Below are 19,915 nucleotides of genomic sequence, written 5' to 3'. Positions count from 1 at the left end.
TTTTTTCTTAAATTGACCATTTGAGATATGGCTGCTGAGGTTTAAATATTCAGCTTTGACTTAAAGTAGAACAGTTATGCCAGATAGATGAGAGGCCATTTGACCCTTTTATCTCTGCCCAAGTATTCTAAACAACACAAGCTATGGACACAGATTGGATATGTTTTTAGTTACCACAGTATATAAGCTGCACAATCCATTTCTGACTTTGGTCTCTTATTAAATATGGGGTGGAAGTGGGTAGGCTGTCAAGAAGAACCAACAATTTCATATAAATCCTTCAATTCCAGGGAATTGTTTGAAATCAGGCAGAAAATACAAGTGTCATTTGTGAACCTTTTATACTTCAATTGACAAAAATAATCGTATACTTAATTTGGAGACAGAGTTCTGCCTTCCATGACACCCTTATTGTGGTTCTCTTCCTCTCCTCATTGAATGGTAGCCATGAAATTTGATCCTATCCCTCTTGACACAGTGACGGCTTTAGGTCGCCCAGGTCTCAGTCAATCAGCTCAATCCCTTCCTCTGACCACAGGGATTGGTTCAGGGTGGACCAATCATTGCAAACGTAAGGACTGTCTCTTAGATTCAAATAAGGGGAACCAGCCTTGAGATGGAGCCTTCACTATACATATTAGAGTCTAGTGAGACAGAAAAACTGAATTATCAAGCCCCTGGATCAAATTCCCCTGAAACTCATATACCCTGAGATTTTCCAGTATACGAACCAAAAAGGTTTAAATTGGATTTTCTATTACTTACAACCAATGACTTCATAAATAATACATGTCCATCAGCAAATAAAAATGTATTTGCATTTCCAAAACTATATTTGACTTCCTACATTCCATGACAGGGGGCTCAGCACACAACTCCCTGTATTGGCACGTATAATAAAGGGAGATAGGCTTACTTAAGCAAAATGATTTTTATTCACATCGGAAGTGGAGTTTGAGTCCTGAATTTGCACTTTGTTTGTATGTGAGCACTGAATTTGAGCTATAGAGTTCCAGTCATTATGGCTGCCTCCATGAGTAGTAATTAAGCAGTTACTGCTCAGAAAGTCATGCAGAATCAGAATTAGATCTGGCACCCACCTGACAGGTCCAACATCAATGAGGCAACCAGACAGGCAAAACACCTTAATATCCATTAGCCAATGAATAGGTCAGTAGAAATTAAGGGTGAGTGCCCATACTTCTACAGGGTTAACTTCAAAAGGTCAGTTTTCTAGCTTGCTTTGTCAACAAGAAAGGGAAGATGGGTTTGCTTAAGGAAGTTCGGAATGAAGTTTATTAGTGAACTTACCCACCCTTTTCTTCCTGTCCATTTTGTTTGGTCTTCCATAATTGGCAAGCAGCATTTATTAATACATGTTCCTGACATAAAGCTATGAAGTAGGTTTTCCTCTTCTAGTAAGAAATTCGGTCAAAACCACCCAGGTGCCCACATCTCAATTAAAAACAAAAAGACAGGAAACAATTGGGTAGTTCTACTAGTTTTTAATATTCTGTTTTTTCACAGCCCAGAATGTTCTAATTGGGAATGACAAGATTGCAGATCACAGGCAGAGCTGGGAGGTTTTCAGCCAAATTTAATGATACCTGAAAAATCCACCATTCTTCCAATGGGCTTGGTTTACTGGAAATAACACCTGCTGTAAATAACTTACATCTTAGTATATGGGATAAATTGCATGAATAGTTTTTTGTTGGTTTGTTTGTTTTTTGAGATGGAGTGTCACTCTTATTGACCAGGCTGGAGTGCAACGGCATGATCTCAGCTCACTGCAAACTCTGCCTCCTGGGTTCAAGTGATTCTCTGGCCTTAGCCTCCCAAGTAGCTGGGATTACAGGAGTATGCCACCATGCCTGGGTAATTTTATATTTTTAGTAGAGTTGGGGTTTCACCATGTTGGTCAGGCTAGTTTCGAACTCCTGACCTCAAGTGATCCACCCACCTTGGCCTCCCAAAGTGCTGGGATTATACGCGTGAGCCACCAGGCCCGGCTGCATGAATAGTTTTAATTCTCCACCTCTCCTTGTATCTATTCCCACCTGTTAGCATTTGACTTTGAAGTTCCTCTTACCAAAAGGCAGAATATATTTCCCTGCCTCTTAACTTTGGGTTCAGCCATGTGACTTGCTTTCACCAATGGAATGTTAGTGGGTGTGGTATCACTAATGGCTGGAAAAGCACTTGTGTAATTGTTCCTTGCTTCACTGCTGTAACCAAGAGATGAACATCTTGATCTAGCCCACTGGTCCCAGGAGAAGGATGAGAAACACATGCAGCAGAATCAGTCCCAGCCAAGCCCAACCCAGAATAGCTAACTCCAGGCCAGCTGGAGGGCTGCAGACACACAAGCTAAATAGATGATTATGTTGCTCACTGCTGACATTGTGTGTTGTTATAGAGCATGATTGTGGTAATTGTTAATTAATGGAATGTCAATTAATTGTTATTTAATAAAATCCAGGGTGCCCCATGCCTCCTTCTGAACATAATTTTGTTTCCATTTTAGTAATGCCTCTGTCGCTCCATTTTTTATCCTTGAAACTTTGTGGTTTTTCCCCGATACTAACTTAATACCTTGACATCCAATACAGAGCTCCAAGGGAAATGTGGCTTGCCTAAGATTTTTAGCAAAGACTTTTGTTATACCATTGGCTATAACATATGAACTTGCAGGCTTAACCTGCCCACTACAACAAACATATGACAAATTGCCACCAGCTGTCATACTAGCAGATCTGCAGTGACGATTTACTAATTTAATTCCCTTAAAATGTTATAATGGGCCAAGTGTGGTGGCTCATGCCTGTAATCTAAACACTTTGGGAGGCTGAGGCAGGTGAATGACTTGAGCCCAGGAATTCAAGACCAGCCTGGGCAACGTGGCAAAACCCTGTCTCTACCAAAAAATATATGTGTGTGTATATATATATATATATATATATATGTATATACATATATATATATATATGTATATATATATACATGTATATACATATATATATATGTATATATATATATATATGTATATACATATATATATATATATATGTATATATATATATATGTATATATATATATATGTATGTGTATATATATATATATATATATATATATAAAATTAGCCAGGTGTGGTGGCACACACCTGTAGCTATTTGTGGGGGCTGAGGTGGAAGGGTCACCTGAACCCAGGGAGGTCAAGGCTGCAGTCAGCTGTGATCGCACCACTGCACTCCAGCCTGGGTGACAGAGTGAGACCCTTTTCTCTCTCTCTCTCTCTCTCTCTCTCTCTCTCTCTCTCTATATATATATATATATATATATATATATATACACATATATATAAATATATATATGTATATATATATTTATATATATATACACACACACAGATATACATTCATATAGATAGAGATATATATACTACTATATATATGATATATATATATGATAGCATGAAACAGGAACAATATTCTCAACTCACCAGTGTTATCTTTAAAAGCTCCATGTAGCTAATACATAAAGATATTTATTCTAGTATTGAGCACTATTGAAAAAAATATGAATATTCTACAGTTTTTTTAAAGATAGACCTTCACACTAAGAAGATGAATGATAAAATTTCAGGTATCAGCCAATAGGTGGGAGAGGGTCTGAGGAGTGTCTCTAGGAACCAATAAAACCTTATTACTTGGTAATCGATAAGAATTAAGTTCCAAACTTCAACATGTACCTTAGGTAAATTTATCTGTTCTGTACCCATCATTTGAATGTAATGGTAGTAAGTTGCTAGGATGGTAATAAGTTGCTGAGATACCTCCAAGCAGCTTTACAAGTTTACTTTGTTAAACTATGTCCTATGAATTAAGAATTATTAAGTGTTTTGATTGGATGAGGTGAGAAGTGTTTATCTGCATTATGAGGAAACCAAAGAGTGCCCTTTGAGATTTGTCCAATCCCTTCATTTGTTTTACAGATTACATTGTTAAAATAAATATTTACTGAGCACATTCTGTGTGTCAGGCACTGTGCTAAATAATGGGAAATACAGGATACCCTTGAGAGGTTCACAGAAGACAGGGAGACCAAGAACCAGTAAGGTTAGGGAAGTTGCCCAAGGTCATAGGACCTTGTAAAAGAGACTTGAATCTTAGTCCAGTGCTGTTTGCCACAGTGTGAGAAAACTCTTTGACAAAAGTTAATATAAATTAATATTTAAAATGAACTTCTATGTGGAGGCTTCTTTAGCTTCCATAAGAGCCAAGACTTCTCATGAAGCATGTGTTCAATAAGCATTTTACTGAGTGCTTATTGAGTTTACTTCATAAGAAACATACCATATGCTGGGGAAATAAAGTCGTGTTCTAGTAGGGCCAAAAGCAATTTAAACACAGAATCCTGGGCAATGACATATGTACTATTGTAGAGTCATACTCTGGTTGCCACGGTAGCCCAGAAGAGAGGGGGCGAAAGCTGCCCTAAAGGGATTATGAGTTTTGAAGGACAAGTCAGACATTACATGGGCTCTTGACAAGTGGGACATTCCAGGAATGAACAGCATGTGAGTTGCACTTAATGTGATTAATGTTACTAAAAAGAGGATTGACATTTTCTCAGTAGTGTCTGAGAGCAAGATGCCTGATACCTATGGAGACCATGTGTCCAGTTTCAAACATTCAGCTTCTTTGTCCTAAAAATTGGAAGTACCGTGGCAGACCACAGATCTGAGTTTGGGAAATGAGGTATTAAAGCCAATATTTGAGGCAGATCTTTAGGTAGAAAGTGTTGGATTCTCAGATAGGGGATGGGCCTACACATCATTGACATTTCTGACTTCTCACCTCTCAGACATCACTGCATTCCATGGGCTCTTTCTTAGAAGTCACTTAAGACTTCACCTGCCTCCGAGGTGAAAATGAGGCTCATCTCCTGTGTTTCACCCACTCTGAGACATCATTGATTGCAACGTGCATTAATATTTTAGGTACCATTAAGAAAGAAAAATACTGCCATGGAGCCATAACATGATGTTTTCTTGCCTATTAAAAGGTATTTTTAAAATTTTCTGCACATTAAGAAAGATCTTTCAGAGTAATTTAGACATGAGCCTTTATTATAGATCACTTTTGTACATACACAGAAAGGAAATATAAGCAAAATAAAATGATTTAGATATCTCTAAAACTTCTACACAGCATCCTTCTCTTTGAACCACTTCAAATTGGGATCATAGATGTCCGTATCTTTCTATAAAACATCATCCTCTGTGCCATTAAGAGCCATGATTTGCAACGTTTCTTAAGAGTTCCCCACATTCGTCTCTTGGATTTCTTCCCAAGCTGCTGACATTCCTTCTAAAACTTTTAAAGCCGTATGCAGCAAATATCAACTATGTCAAGAACAAAACCTGGCATCAATTGTAAGACTCATTCCTATTTCAGAGATTTTAAAGATGTGTGTCTTAGAATACCTGAAACAACGGTAAGCCAGACCTGAGGTTTCTTAGAACATTATTACGGCTTTAAAACTTAGAAGAAAAAAAGTCCAGAATCCAGAACTTTCCCTCTGACTTTTTACATGGCACCAACCTGTGTCCATCTGCAGAGGTTTCTAACGTGATTTGGCAGCCTCACATCTGTCAGGCCCATGTGAGGTGGGAGCAGGATGACAGCTGCAAGTCAAGCACCGGAGCAAGACCTGCTGCCAAGCACTCTGATTTTAATCCTGTCAGTTAGTGCTTGGCTCCATCCGAAATGTATTCAGGGCTGTGACAGGGTTCTCAGACCCAGTGCCTCCTTTTTACAACAAGGATTTCGGCCTGACAGGGTGGCTCACGCCTGTAATCCCAGCACTTTGGGAGGCCGAGGTGGGTGGGTCACATGGTGGAGAGATTGAGACCATCCTGGCCAACATGGTGAGACCCGTCTCTACTAAAAATACAAAAATTAGCCGGGCGTGGTTGTGGGTGCCTGTAATACCAGCTACTTGGGAGGCTGAGGCAGGAGAATCGCTTGAACCCAGGAGGCGGAGGTTGCAGTGAGCTGAGATTGCACCACTGCACTCCAGCCTGGTGACAAAGTGAGACTCTGTCTCAAAATAAATAAATAATAAAAAATACAATAAGGATTTGGGGACACTGTAGCAGATTGTATCTTCCAAAGATTGCCATAGAATATCTCCTGTCCCACACCATCTTCCAGAACTGTGCTGCTCCTTTATCAAGATTTGGAGCCCAGTCCTCCCACTTCTTGAATTTGTGAGTTTGTGTCTAGTTTGTTACCAATGGAATGTGGGAAAAGTAAAGTTGTGTGACTTATAAGGCTGAGTCAGAAAAGGCCATGCGACTTCCACCTTGCTTGATGGAACATTCATGCTGGAGCCCAGACCTACCATGTAAGCAGTCTCACTGCCATAAGGTGGCCATGCTGTGAGGAAGCCCAAACAGACAACATGGAGAGGCCCTGAGATGATCTGAAGAGAGAGAGACTACTGCTCTCAGTTGAGAGACTACTCAAGCTCCCAGCTACTCGAGCTGTCACCTCCATCTGACTGCAACCATGAATTGCTGTTATTCTAACCCACTAAATTTGGGGATGGTTTGTTATATGACATTGGTAACAGGAAGACTCCCTTTAAGGAGGGGTGTCACTCCCGTGGAAGACAACTGCCTTAGGGACATTAAATCCTCCATGTGACCACCAAGTACACCAACACCAAGGAAAGGCTTCAGGTTCAGAGGCCAGCATTTCTCAGCCACTTACACTCACTGGGGTTCGATTACTCTCTCTCCCTCACCTCTTATCCTCTTCATCACCTCTAAGTCCTGGTATAGAACATTTACATAACTTACCGTCTCTTGGATAAATAAGGAATAACTTCAGTTAGTTCTACAAACTGAAAAAAACTCAAACAGATGATAGTTATTTCCCTATTCGTTATACCCCAGCTTTCTCGTTTGGGTCTCAGCCCCAGCATCAGGGTCTTCAGGGAAGGTAAAATAGTGAAAAGCTACTTCCGGCCCCACTTCACTCCATCCAAGTGTCCAGGGCTGCCAGGCCTCAATGCATAGGCAGAGCTACGTGTTGTGTGGGGCTTGAATCTTTTACAACTCTGGGAACACTTTTTAAGAAAAAGGAAATCAAAATTAGATATGAAAGGAAAGTGATTTAGAATATAAATTCACAACAAATTACAACTTGAAAAAACTAAAAAATCCTACAATCATGAAAAAATCCAGAAAAATAACATAATTAATTACCTAATATGCTCTTATAATATTTTTCTACCTTTTTTTAGTTGCATACTATTTGATTAGTCTTCATATGACAATTTTATGCTATCATTCTACACATGGTGAATTGGAAGTTTATTCAGTTTTCCTCTAGGATGGTAATCAAACTGTGTTTTTAATTACTGATAGTTTAAACAGTTTTTTTTGGTTTCACAACTTGTTATTGGTAACATAATGTAAAGTTTTAAAATTTTTCTCAAATGTTAAAAAAAACTCAAGTTTTTTGTGTTTTTGTTTGTTTTTGTATATGAGCTGTAAGATTAGGAAGAATTTTCCACAGACTAGCTTCTGGCAATATTAATTTCTAGCCTTGTTTCCTTTTTATTATCCTCATAATTCCAGGTTGGATGCCATAGGGCATGCTTCTTTTTTTTTTTTTTTTTTAATTATACTTTAAGTTTTAGGGTACATGTGCACATTGTGCAGGTTAGTTACATATGTATACATGTGCCATGCTGGTGCGCTGCACCCACTAACTCGTCATCTAGCATTAGGTATATCTCCCAATGCTATCCCTCCCCCCTCCCCGCACCCCACCACAGTCCCCAGAGTGTGATATTCCCCTTCCTGTGTCATGCTTCTAACATAACATGGTCTCTGGCCCTGCACCTTTGTGTGAGTTCACCTGGCTTTGTTCTCCCTGCTGTGTGGTGGACATCAGGTGTTTGTGCTATATACTGCCTCCTCCCATACAGATCTTCTTCTCCCCCAGATCTTGATCTGGTGAGACTGGCAATCACAACTCTCCACCCTGCTGGCCACAGAGAGAGCAGAGGGCCCAGTCACACTGCATATTCCAGTCAGCACAGGGGATCCATGCGAGCACACGGCCCAGAGTCAATCAATCAGCCTCTAATCTGATTTTGATCACTTGGGGCTGGGGAAGAGATCTTCCTTCAACTCCACATATTACCCCAAAATGCTTATTGGGATAGGTCCCCACTTACCCATGAGCCCTTTTTTTTTTGTTTTTTTAGATGTAGTAGGGCTGGTTTCTATACACCACAAGAAAAAAATAGTTCCTTTTTATTATTTTTAACTAGTCATTTTATGACCATAGAATACATACATATTGTGCAAGATTCGAACAATATAGAAAGGCATAACAGGAATATTTCAGAGTGTCTGTCCCTGTAATTTATTTCTAGTTTTACTACATGTGGTCCAGAACTTGGTATGTGCTTTATTATTTCTTAGAGGGTGATAGAAGACCAGAGGATTTACTGAGGTTATATATATATATATATACACACTGTAAGTTCAGAGGTTCATGTGCAGAATGTGCAGGTTTGTTACATAGGTATACATGTGCCATGGTGGTTTGCTGCACCCATCAACCTGTCATCTACATTAGGTAGTCCCCCTAATGCTATCCCTCCCCTAGCCCCCCAACCCCCATCAGGCCCCAGTGTGTGATGTTCCCCTGAGGTTTTGTTGTTGTTTGTTTTGAGATAGAGCCTCTCCCTGTCACCCAGGCTAGGGTGCAGTAGCACGATATCGGATCACTGTAACCTTCGCCTCCCAGGTTCAAGCAATTCTCCTGCCTCAGCCTCCTGAGTAGCTGAGATTACAGGTATGCGCCACTATACCCGGCTAGTTTTTTTTTTTTTTTTTTTTTTTTTTTTGTATTTTTAGTAAAGATGGGGTTTCACCATGGTGGCCAGGCTGGTCTCGAACTACTGACCTCAGGTGATCCACATGCCTCGGTGGCATGAGCCATTGTGCTCGGCCTACTGAGGTTTTATAAGGTCCAATAAACGACTAATTTGCTAAATGTTTCCTGACCCTTTAAAATTACATTCACTGCTTGAAGTTACAGAGCTCAATATTTAAGCAAAGTACATTCATTATATTTTTGACTTCTGTGCTGAGTCTGTTTCGAGTATGAAGACAATAGTATCCTTACATCATAAGATTGTTCTAAGGACTCAATATGTTAATACATGAAAAGAGCTTAGAATAGTGCCTGCCACACAGTAGGCATCCCTAAAATGTTAATTGTCATCAGCATCTTCCTTTTTATTCTTTTTCAATACTACATAGGCATACTTACACCTGACATTTTAACTGTCAAACATTGACTGAAAGTATCTTAGCACTCTCTTAATTAATACTATTTTCTTAATTTCTAATAGACTTTGCTGTATATAATCTGAAATTGTTGGTGATTATGTGATTATTGTGGATAATCTCTTGATCAATTAAAGAATTCTAGTGCCTTTGATATTAATATTATGATGATCTCTTACTTTTTTACTGTAATTCCCTGGCATTCTTTCTCATCTTTTCATATTCAGCCAGAATCATATTGTTTTGGTATGTACTTTGAAATAGTAAAATTTCACGAGTCTTACCGTTTTCAGAAATCAAATCCTGCTAATTTCCTCAGCAGAATCACATTTTTATGCTTCTTTCTCCCTCCTCACTACTCACTTTTACTAAAATAAGTGAGAACCTGGGAACTAGCATAAAATCAAATGATTTATTGTTATTTATAAAATATTTATTATGCTCAATATACATATTTCCTTTCAGATGTTAACATATTGTTTGATAGCCATCATTAACACAGTACTTAGCACTAAAATTGTACATAATAGGAGCCACTGCCTCACAGCCAGCCCACAAATTTCCTACAGTTTTCCTGTCGATCAGTTATTTCCTTTGATTCATTCTGTACATTCCTGAAAAACATCTGTATGGTTTTCCAGTAAAACTGCATGAGTAATATCCATGCTTTTGCACTTAAACGTCAATTTAGATAGACATGCAATTTGTGCTGTAGTAAGTGACCTAATTCTCCTACCTTACAAATTTCCTTCACACAAAAAACAGTCTGATGCTTTTTAGTTTTTATCTTTTTGTTCCCCTGAACATAGTGAGTACTGCCCACTTCTGGTGTAGTATCTTGAGTTTAGGGAAGTTTTTGTCCTGTTTCCTCTAAAATGTTGTTCCTGTTACATGTGTTCTGTTAGTATTTTCCTTCTATCACTTAACAAGACTCTGGATTCTCATTGTCTGATCTCTGTATCTATGATATTCTCTTTGGCCATTTTCCTTGTTTTGCACTTTTTCTCTGGGTTCTAGGGGATTTTCTTAAGCCTGGTCTCCATATCAGAGGTAGATTTTCCTGGGGCTGATGATGCTCTTGCTGTTCCTAGGGTAATGTTAAGTTCTCTAACAGAGAGATCCCTCTCCTTAAATTCTTTCTTGGTGTTGCCAGCTGTTCCTGCATGTCTTATCTTTTCTCTCACCTCATTTCAGAGTCCCTGCTCTCCTTAAATGCCCTGAGTAAATACCACTTCTACTCCTTGGAATGAATCTTCCAGAGCATGGTCTTTATCACGTGCATCTGGTGCTCACATCCTCTTCTATTTAACAGACCTATGTTACTTGCTGTTTACTTAAATCAATTAGGGGCAATTCTGCTCTTTTGGTTTCAAACAATTGGGGTCATTCACCTGTTCTCCCTTCCTTGTTTACCTGGCCTTTCCCTACATCCACAACCTAGGACTAGTGCTGGATAATAGGATGTTGTAAACCCATCAGTTCTGTCTTCTAGAGACCTGAAGAAGGTGGGAGGACTGGGACTGTAGGTGAGGGTCTTGGCTGAGTCCAGGAGCTTTCTATACTTGTTGAAAACCCCATCGAGGGGTTGTTATCCTGAGTGGAAAGAGGGAATCCTCTGCCCCCGCATCACCTGGGAATGCCTGTGGTGGGTACATACCCATGGTGAGGGCACAGGCAGCAGCTCCAATCTGCATCTGTGCATCAGGATGAGCAGCACTTTGGTGAAAATGCTAGACACACAAACTCCCTCCATCTGGGAGCTGTTGGTGAGGAGCTTCCTTTTCTTGTTTTATGTCCTTCCCAAAGTCCCTTTGCTATTCTTGCTTTTCGAGTGTAAGAAGGGTTCCTTTGCAAGATTTCATCTCTGCCCAGCTGGCCCCTGTAGACTACCTCTACCCCTAAAGGGAACATAGCCCCTGTAGAGTACCTCTACCCCTAAAGGGAGCCTCATTTGCCCAAGCCAGAAGGGAAGTGGGGAGAAGGCACATGGTTTCTCTTTGTGGGGGCCCTAAGTCCATGGGGGTTTCCCATTTTTCCTTTTTCCTCTGCCCTGCCCATACTCCTCTTCCTCAGAATTGAACATGTTGTAAATAAAATCCCCTACCTGGCTCTTCTATACTTCTCTGATAAGTGCCAAGGTCCAGCATCTTTTACTTTGGTTCAAATTCTGATGCCATCTAATGATTTGTTTACAGACTAAACTTTTTCCTCTAGTTTTGACTCTCTGACACCCGTTTGTGATTCTATTGGAGATAAAGGTTTCAAAAACATTTCTGTGCAACAAACTGAAACTCATATAGGAAACATGCCTTCCCTCTTCTCTTCCCCTCCCCTTGTCTGTTTCACTGGCCGGCTCCCAGCTCTAAGGGTTCCGGTAACTAGGAAAGGAGGAAGTCACTGTTGCCTCAAATGTTCCAGCCCACAGCAGCAGCTTTGCCATATGCCAAGTGACCACAGAGGACTTTGTCTCAGGACAGGGTGGGGCTCAAAGTGTTTTTATTCTGCACCAGCAGAAAAGTGCAATGCTGAGAAGTGGGAACATCTTGCTGATTATGCTGAGAAAGGCAGAAACACGTGTTTGTGGAGAGGCGGCTGGGCCACTCACCTTGCAAGAAACAAAATGTGCTGTGAAGCAGGAAAGTACATAGCATCCTGTACTTTCATACCGCTCAATGCATCTCTGCAAGCTTATCCCAAGTGCTGCCTCATCTGATCTCACCACAGGAATCACAGCAACATTTCAGATAAGGAAAAGGAGGTCAAGGGCTTGGGTCAAAGTCACCACAGCAGTTAGTGGGGGTCAAAGATTGCAATGAGCATTTCTCTTCTTCCTGCCCCAGATGATTGGACTTAACAAGGCCAAGGAAAGCTTAAGTGGGTCATCATCCCTGGCTTTCCTTAAACATCAGCAGGGTGGGAATGGCTAACAGGAGGAGAAACACAGAGTGTGAACTTGTATCACCCCCCACCTGCCTACCCAGAGACTGTCTATGTGAGTGAGATGAACACAAACCCCAGTACAGTGAAACACTTTTATGAAGGCTGCCTGAGAGGTAATCTACTGACTTGGAGAGTATGTTCAAGGGATCATATAGGAAAGTCATGGGCTCTTCCCCACGCAACCATCTCCAGAGACCTAAATAAAAAGCAAATTTAATACGAATAAGTGGACAGATGAGCTGCCCAGTAGGCAGGCACTGAGAGACTGATCAGTGGGATACTCAAGCAGAGTGAGACAGAGCGGAACCTTCCAAGTGGTATTAGTGTTGACCTGGATTACATCCCATAATGAGTTCTGGATCCAGAATTACCTGAGGGAAGGGGTCTGTTAGCAGTGCCATAAAGGGTCAGTGGCTCTGATCTCCCAGGCGTCAGGGTCCCTTGCAGAGATGACTGAGAACCAAGTGCACAAAGCACAGATGAAGCTGCTACAGGCTGGAACCCCAGGGGCCACTGGAATGTCCATTTCCTGCAGCCTGCCTATACTGAGGTTTAATCTAGATAACGTTTGACAAAAGGGTCAGGGTAAGATTAGGAGATGATAATTAACCTCTAGGAGTCTACCTCATTGTACAGCTGCTCCCCCACTGGGTACTCCCATTCTTCTAAGACCAAGGGCTGCCAGTGGGACCCACACTGCTCTGCATCAAGCTTCCAGACCACTGCCCACCCTCCCTTCCTCAAAAGGCTCTCACCTGGGAGATGCTATCCTGTCATGCCTGCTTTCCCCTCTGGCAGGTGCCACTGGCCTTGTGGCCACTCCTCTTGTTCACCAAGGATGCTGACTCCTAGGTCACACCATTCTCCTCAACATCTGTCGGTTTCTTGCTTCAGCACCCATGTGGAGGCTCACCCTGCCCTCCAGCCTCGCCAACCCTAGATTTCACTTCTTAAGGCTCCTCCCTGGCTCTGGCCAGCAACCCCAGGTCATACCCTCTATTTTGCCTTTACCTGAGATTGCTCCACCTCTCAATTTCCAAAGCACTCCTGTCTGGCTCAAATATACCTCCCTGCCCAACCCCTCACCATGCTGGAGTTTCTATCTTGTCAAGACCTCTAATTTCCTAATCCCTCCCTAGTCACCTCCTGTTTTCAATTCCAATTTCTTGGTCAGATTAAACCTTAGACTGCACATTTCATCACTACAATTTCTCCTGTGTATGTCTTCTGAACTGACCCATCTTTCTCTCAACTCCTTTTACTTCCCTGGCAAAACCCCAACACTGCAGTAAGTGTACCCATCCCAGCTCCTGAATCCTGATGAGGGGAAGACAGGTGTGTGCAGAGCCCCACTCAACACACACACACCTGAGTGCCCAGCATCCTACTCTAAACTGACCATCTCAGAGCTCAGCCTTGCCCTGCCCTTCTGCTGTTGCCTTAATCAACCTGTTTTCCAACACCTAGGAAAACATCTACTTCATACCTTCTGAGAACACACTCCACCCACAACTAGCTGATAGTCTCACTTCATTTCACAAAGAAGAGATTCAAACTCCTTCATCATTTCCCCATTAATTTAGTCATCCTAATCTTCTATACTTGCCCCTTTCTGTTTTATTGAGCCATATGAGGCTGCAGGACTGTGTCTCTTCCTACAAAGGTCCCATCCCTCCTTCTTTCTCATGGACTCTGCTCCTTCAGGGGTCCTCCTCTTTGTGCCCCTCCCATCTCTCTCATCACACCATCTTGACTGTTGCCATCAATATTGGCATGCTCTACCTCCCATCTTAAACATGCCTTGACTCCATAGCTCTCTATTATTAACCTGAGCCCCTTGAAGGCCAACTTCTCACACGTTCTACTCCCCAACTTTCCATTCACTCAACCAGTACAGCCTGCCTTCCATACCGCCCTTCCTGAAACTGCTGCCATCATAGTCATCAAACACTTCATGTTACTGAATTCAATGGACAGTTTTGCCTCTGTTTTAGTGAAACCCTCACAAGCACTCTGCATAGTCCGCTTTCTGTCTTCTTTAACGTGCCTGGTTCCCTCTGCCCAAACTTTTAGGATTGGGCCTCCTCAGGGCCTTGTCCTGAGCCCTCTTCTTTTTCTCTCTCCATGGATTACCTCCTCCAGTCTATGTTTTTATACCACCTTTATGTAGATGAAGTGAAGGCAGGGTGGTGCTAGACTGGGGTGGGTCAATTCCCTTCTGATAGTCTCGGAGTCTCAGGCATCCCAAAGATGAAAGCTCTAGAGGAGAGACACCAGTCCTCACAGGACTCATGTCCATGCTCAGTCCAAGGAGACCTAGCCACTTCCTTACCCTTCCTGCTCAGTTTCAGAAGAAAAGGATTGGGGATTGGTTGGGCTGCTCTCCCACCTTTTAAGAGCCAACTGCTTTGGTCACCACTCAAGACAAGAGCAAGTCTATTTTCAGAAAGCACAGGGGGTGCTCTGTTTCTCTATCCTCCCTAACAAATAGGCTGGGCTAGACCCTGGAGGGCAACCATGGAGGAGTGTGGGAAGGATTCACCCTTGCTTCAGAAGCTCCTTGCAATCAGGGACCAGGGTAGTGTGACAAATGCCACTTCAAGGTTAAACTGGACATGACCAGGGGAAGGTGTCAGGCTGTGTGTTGTTACAGATTGTATATTTGCATGCCTGGGGGTTACCAGGCTGTACGCATATAAACAGGGAGGAGGCAGGCTCTGAGAACCTGCCAGGGTGCCTGGGATAAGCTGTGACTTTTTGCCCCTGATGCCATAAGTTGGAGGGTCCTCTGCTCAAAACATATGGTACACACTTCTCCTTCTTTTCATCTGGTATCATGTATCATCTCTCAGATCCAATAAGAAAACATTCCCACGTCCTTCCCTCCCTCCCTAGTACCAAGGTCCTCATCTCAGTTTTCATGGGTCCATGGAGGGCTGCCTCTAGTGATGAGCTGGAATCTTAAGGCCTGAAATAGAGCCAGACTGCAGCAGTCCCAAGTCCTGGAGAGCTTCAAGTAACTGCTCCCGCGCAGAGCCAATAAAGGAATTCTCCAGGAAGGTAGGCAGGCCTCCTACACCATCCCGCAGGGTATACAGGGGCACTCGCACCAGGCCCAGCACCTGTAAAAGGAAGGAGACAGGAGACACTAGGGCCCCAGGTGGCTCATTCCCTTAACTCCATCCTTTCTCCAGCAGATCAGGCCTCACCCCTTAATACTCCAGCAGAACCAGGCCCAAGGCTCACACCTCACTAAAGCCTAGTGGCCCAACCTTCTGCAGGAAAATGACCCAAAACATATTATCTAGCTCTATCAATTAATCTTTCCCACATCTGCTTCTAAACCTCTAGTGGCTACTGCCTCAAAGATGTATTCATACCCTTTCACCAGTGGTTGTCAAAATGTGGTCCTCAGATTATTTGCATCAGCATTATTTGGGAACTTTTGAAAACTACAAATTCTCAGGTTTCCTCTCCCCCCGCCCCACCACCAATGCAGGAATGCTGAGAGAAATCGCTATTTTAATAAGACGCCCCGATGATTCTGCTACCTGCCAAATTTTGAGAACCACCTTCATACATAATCTATCTACTAGCCCTGCCTGAAATATCAGGGCCACATCTCCTACACAAGAAAAGCAAACCCCAAGAATAAAACCTAGGTTGCCACACCTAGATAATGTGATAATCTATCACACTGTCAATAGGGAACAGCAGAGAGACATGGATGAGTGTGTTCTAGAAAGGATCTCTCCTGGTAAAGGGTGGGAAAGACCTTTACAGAAAGCCCAGGTTGGCAGTACTAATTCAGAGTATAGATGATCACGATCCCAACTCCACCAAGAAAGCTGGGGAGAGGGCAAGGTCAGAGGGGCAAAGACTTTTCTCCAGGGATGCTTTCTTGGGGGAGAGAAAGCTTTGGGAGAAGAGGAAATTGGGAAAGGGACAGAGTCCCAGGCTGGTCCCACCTCCAGCCCGTGGTCCTTGGCGCGTGTTGCGCCGGCCTCCACAGCCAACAGCTCCTCGAGCGTCAGACGCTTGGCATAGAAGTGGGCCACAACGCGTGGCCCTGACCCGACGTGGGAGCTGCGGTAGTCAGTGCGCTCCACGCGGAAAGCGGCAGCCGCTTCGCCCAGCTCCTCGCGCAGCTCGCGGTTCAGCCCGTCCTCTAGGCTTCTGTCCTGCGTGTCCACGAATCCGCCGGGGAAGCCCAGGCGTCCATCGAAGCGCATCTGCATCTGCGGGAGGGGGAAGCGGGGATTGGCAGGGGCGCCCCAGAGGAGACCACCAGAGAGGGTGCGGGGCTCAGGCAGAAAGTGGCCGGGCGCGCCCCCTTCTCACCAGTATGGCGTAGCGCAGCGGGATGCGGCCGAAGAGCATCCCAGGGTCCGGCGCGTAGAGGAGAGCGTGGCACGCATGACGCCAGCCCGACCCCAGCGCCAGGGCCTCGCCTAGCTCCAGCCTGCGGGCTCCGGCCATGGCCGGACACTGCTCCTCTGCTGTCCCGAAGGCCCAATGGGCAGAGGGGCGGGTCTCACCTCGGACCAATCCGAGCCTGGGCGGTGCTGCAAGGCCCAATCCCTGCAGGGATAAGGGGAGGAACCTAGGCGCCTGGGGGCGGGGCGCCGCGACCGGTGCGGGAGGCAGCTAATCAGGGCGGGGCTTGCAGACCGGGTTGAAGTCCAGGGCCCAGGAACCCTAGGGTAACCGAAAGCAGCCTCTGGGTTGGGCCTGCGGTGGGGCGGGGCTAGAGGTGTGGCCGCGCCCTAAACCTGGCGCAAGGCCGGTACCTAAAGGCTCCTGGGAGCCAAAAGAGCAAGTCAGGGAACTAGCTTTGGTTGGGTTCGGTGGTACACAAAGCACAAGGCCTGGGTTGGGGTTAGGAGGAAATGAGACTTGCGGCGGGTCGGGGCTGAAGATGTGGCAGCGCCCTGAACCTGGAGAAAGGCTGGTACGTAAACGCCTGCGTCGCAATCTGGAGTCAGCTGGAGTGTCCCGGCAGGTGAGGAAGAGCTGGGGCGCTCAGTTGAGTGCTGGGAGCCAAAGAAGTAATAACTACCTTTGGTTGGGTGTGGTGGTACACAAAGCACAAGGCCTGGGTGGGGGTTAGGAGGAAATGAGGCAGGGTTGGCCTCAGACACCAAGGCCTATCCTAGGGAAATGGAGATGGACAGGCGCCATGGTCTGACAACTATCTTGAGTGGTGAAATTGAGGGGACTTGGTGACTGAGTGAATGGGGAAGAGGGAGCGCTGGGCTAGTGGTGGTTCCGAGTTTCCTGGATGTGGTGTCATTTTCTGAGAGGGGGAGAGTAGGAGAAGGGTGAGCAGTGATAAGTGTAGTTCTAAGGAATTGGGGTGGCCATAGGCAGTGGGCAGCTGATCGTGGGGGTCTGACGCACAGGGAGTGGCACATAGAGAAGTCACAGGGCAGTGAGATTTTCAGGGGAAGGGTGGGGGTGGAAGGAGCTGTGAGTGAAATCCTGTGGCACAGGACTGGGAGTGAGGAGGGGTGAGAGATAGAAGAAGCCTCCTAGGCTTTCTAGTCTTTCCCTCAAACCCCCTCAGACCTCTGAGCTATGAAGGAGGGTGGGTTACCCTACCACAAGGGCAGAGGCCTACTCAGGGCCTGATGCTGAGATGCAGGATCCCTCACTCCAGGCCAGGCCTTCCCCACCCTGCAGAGCGCCCCTACACCAGGTGTCGATATTGATTATGCAATAGAAAGCAGGAGGCAGCTCCTTGAGGGGGGCTGGGCATAAACTCACAGCCTGTAAGTGACGGCATATGGTGGGAAAGAGTCCGGACCCACCCAGAAACAGGTTTGTGACCTTAACAAGTCACTTAACTCTCTCAGATCCCAGCAGCTCATCTGTTAAGTGGAGATGATACCAACCTATTAGGGATGTTGAGATATGTTAGGCACTTAGAACAGTGCCAGGCAGAAAGTAAATGTAGCCATTCTTGGAGTTGAGGGTTGGGGCACAGTGCTATGTCTTACGTTGAGGAGCCAGGGCTGGGCACATACCTATAATCCCAGCACTGTGAGAGGCGAGGTGAGAGGATCATTCAAGGTCATGAATTTGAGACCAGTCTGGGCAACATAGCGAGACCCCGTCTCTACAAAAAATAATAATAATAAATAAAGACCCAAGTGTTGGAACTGAGCTGCACTCATCACGCTCCAGTGTTTGAAGGAGGGATGAGCTGTATGACATCATCTTTCCTAGCTTAGTCTTCTGCGTTGTGGGGCAGGGATATTATCTAATAACATGAAGCAACTGCATTAAAGTGATGAGTCTGTAGGTGTGATACAATTGTCACTGGCCTGCTAGAGTTCCAGGGGGTTTGGAAATAGCCCTGCTTTAACATTAGAGTCACCTCGCAAAAAGCTTCTAAAAATTTTTAAAAGCTGCCACTTTTTCCTACCACAGACCAGTTGAATCAGAATGTATGGGGTCCTACAGGGACATATGCGGTTTTTAAAATATGTTTTAGGTAACTAATAACCAGGGTGGAGAACCGGGGCCTTCCCCCTTCCACTAGCATTCCAAAGGCGACTTGGTTTTTCTCCTAGATAGGCTACCTTTAATGATTTAGGATCAAACATGCCCTTTCCAGATCTTCAAGCTGTTCTTTCTTTCCTGGTTACTTGAGACTTTAAAGATGGACTTTTCAAGATGACTTCAAAGATTTCAAAGGCAACATGAAAAACTGTAAAACCAAGGCAACAGCTGTACGAGTTTTCATGATTTTGGAGACCAGAGCTTTTTCTAGATGAATATGATGAATATGGAAGTCCTTTAGAGCCCCCAACCTTGCCATCCCTTTCAAATCCTTCTCTGCCTCTGCCCCACCCCCACCAACCATCCCCCATTCCACTATCCTAAGGCAGAATGCCCAGGACTCAAGGCTGCAGGTAGAGGGCTGAGCCATGTACCTAAAGAGCTGTTCCAAGTTCATAATGGTACCTGGAACCAAAAATAACTCTGTAGTCAGCATGGGAAGATTCTAGAAAACCAATCTATTATTTTAAAAATAATAATGAAAAGAACTAAGCATTTATCCTGCCTTTTTTATATGAGCTCTTCCTCAGGGCCACCAAATAGTTAATGAGAGGAAATTTATTTCACAAAGTATTCCAGGTAATCAAAGAGGAAGGACAGAGCCAATCAAAATTTTAACATTTGTTAAACTTTAAAGAATTAATGGAATCTAGGGAATGATCATCATTGGTTGCTAACATCATGAATAGACAGTTGTTATACACATTGTGATAAAAGAGCACACTACCTCCTTTGGATTATCTCTGCCAAAATATTGAACTGTCATCTTGATCTAACAATTTATAAGAAATTCAAAGGAATACCTATTTAAAATATTAGGAAGAGACTAGAATGATCTATGTAGTAATAGATTAGAGTTTGAAACATCAGTATGAATTCATTTTTAGCTTGATGTAGATATGGCTATATATATACACATACATACATGCACACATATATGTATACATACAAAGGTTAGTGTGCACAGATATTTCCTTCCTCTGTCAGCTGAGTGGGCTTAGAAGCAATGATATTCCAGTAGCAACAAACACA

The 19,915-nt window shown here is 43.9% G+C and overlaps 1 protein-coding gene and 1 long non-coding RNA gene across 5 annotated transcripts in view, besides 5 other annotated features; one reads left to right on the top strand and one right to left on the bottom strand.

The window, feature by feature from the left end:
• Positions 1-9,772: 9,772 nt before the first annotated feature.
• NUDT16 (nudix hydrolase 16) lies at positions 9,773-16,932 on the bottom strand. Of its 4 annotated transcripts, NM_001171905.2 has the most exons (4): positions 16,858-16,932; positions 16,288-16,557; positions 15,331-15,441; positions 9,795-15,259 (listed from the first exon to the last, which is right to left on the bottom strand). In NM_001171905.2, the coding sequence occupies exons 2-4, from the start codon at positions 16,555-16,557 to the stop codon at positions 15,161-15,163; spliced, it is 480 nt and encodes a 159-aa protein (NP_001165376.1). In that variant the 5' UTR covers positions 16,858-16,932; the 3' UTR covers positions 9,795-15,160. The 4 variants fall into 4 exon arrangements, 3 of the variants coding, with proteins under 3 accessions (NP_689608.2, NP_001165376.1, NP_001165377.1); NM_152395.3 differs by lacking the exon at positions 16,858-16,932 and adding an exon at positions 16,661-16,829 and having other exon boundaries at positions 9,773-15,441; NR_033268.2 differs by lacking the exon at positions 16,858-16,932 and having other exon boundaries at positions 9,773-15,441; positions 16,288-16,829.
• Positions 15,821-16,389: an enhancer, noted in NCBI's record as "H3K27ac-H3K4me1 hESC enhancer chr3:131101058-131101626 (GRCh37/hg19 assembly coordinates)". NCBI's record gives its function as "activates a minimal SCP1, AML or CMV promoter by ChIP-STARR-seq in naive H9 embryonic stem cells {active_cell/tissue: H9 hESC(naive)}" and the evidence as "EXISTENCE:reporter gene assay evidence [ECO:0000049][PMID:30033119]".
• Positions 16,390-16,959: an enhancer, noted in NCBI's record as "H3K27ac-H3K4me1 hESC enhancer chr3:131100488-131101057 (GRCh37/hg19 assembly coordinates)". NCBI's record gives its function as "activates a minimal SCP1, AML or CMV promoter by ChIP-STARR-seq in naive H9 embryonic stem cells {active_cell/tissue: H9 hESC(naive)}" and the evidence as "EXISTENCE:reporter gene assay evidence [ECO:0000049][PMID:30033119]".
• Positions 16,390-17,140: a biological region, named in NCBI's record as "H3K27ac-H3K4me1 hESC enhancer GRCh37_chr3:131100488-131101057".
• Positions 16,841-17,140: a silencer, noted in NCBI's record as "silent region_14737". NCBI's record gives its function as "represses an Ori minimal core promoter by ATAC-STARR-seq in GM12878 lymphoblastoid cells {active_cell/tissue: GM12878}" and the evidence as "EXISTENCE:reporter gene assay evidence [ECO:0000049][PMID:35858748]".
• NUDT16-DT (NUDT16 divergent transcript) overlaps positions 17,128-19,915 on the top strand; it is a 56,384-nt gene continuing 53,596 nt past the window's right edge. The window contains exon 1 of the long non-coding RNA NR_038976.1: positions 17,128-17,270. This is a non-coding gene — a long non-coding RNA (NUDT16 divergent transcript). The remainder of the gene's footprint in view (positions 17,271-19,915) is intronic.
• Positions 17,251-17,520: an enhancer, noted in NCBI's record as "active region_20532". NCBI's record gives its function as "activates an Ori minimal core promoter by ATAC-STARR-seq in GM12878 lymphoblastoid cells {active_cell/tissue: GM12878}" and the evidence as "EXISTENCE:reporter gene assay evidence [ECO:0000049][PMID:35858748]".

The sequence above is a fragment of the Homo sapiens genome, chromosome 3, assembly GCF_000001405.40.
Source record: "Homo sapiens chromosome 3, GRCh38.p14 Primary Assembly".
NCBI lineage: Eukaryota > Metazoa > Chordata > Mammalia > Primates > Hominidae > Homo > Homo sapiens.
Note: the sequence above shows the minus strand (reverse complement) of the source record. Positions and strands in the feature narration are given on the sequence as shown.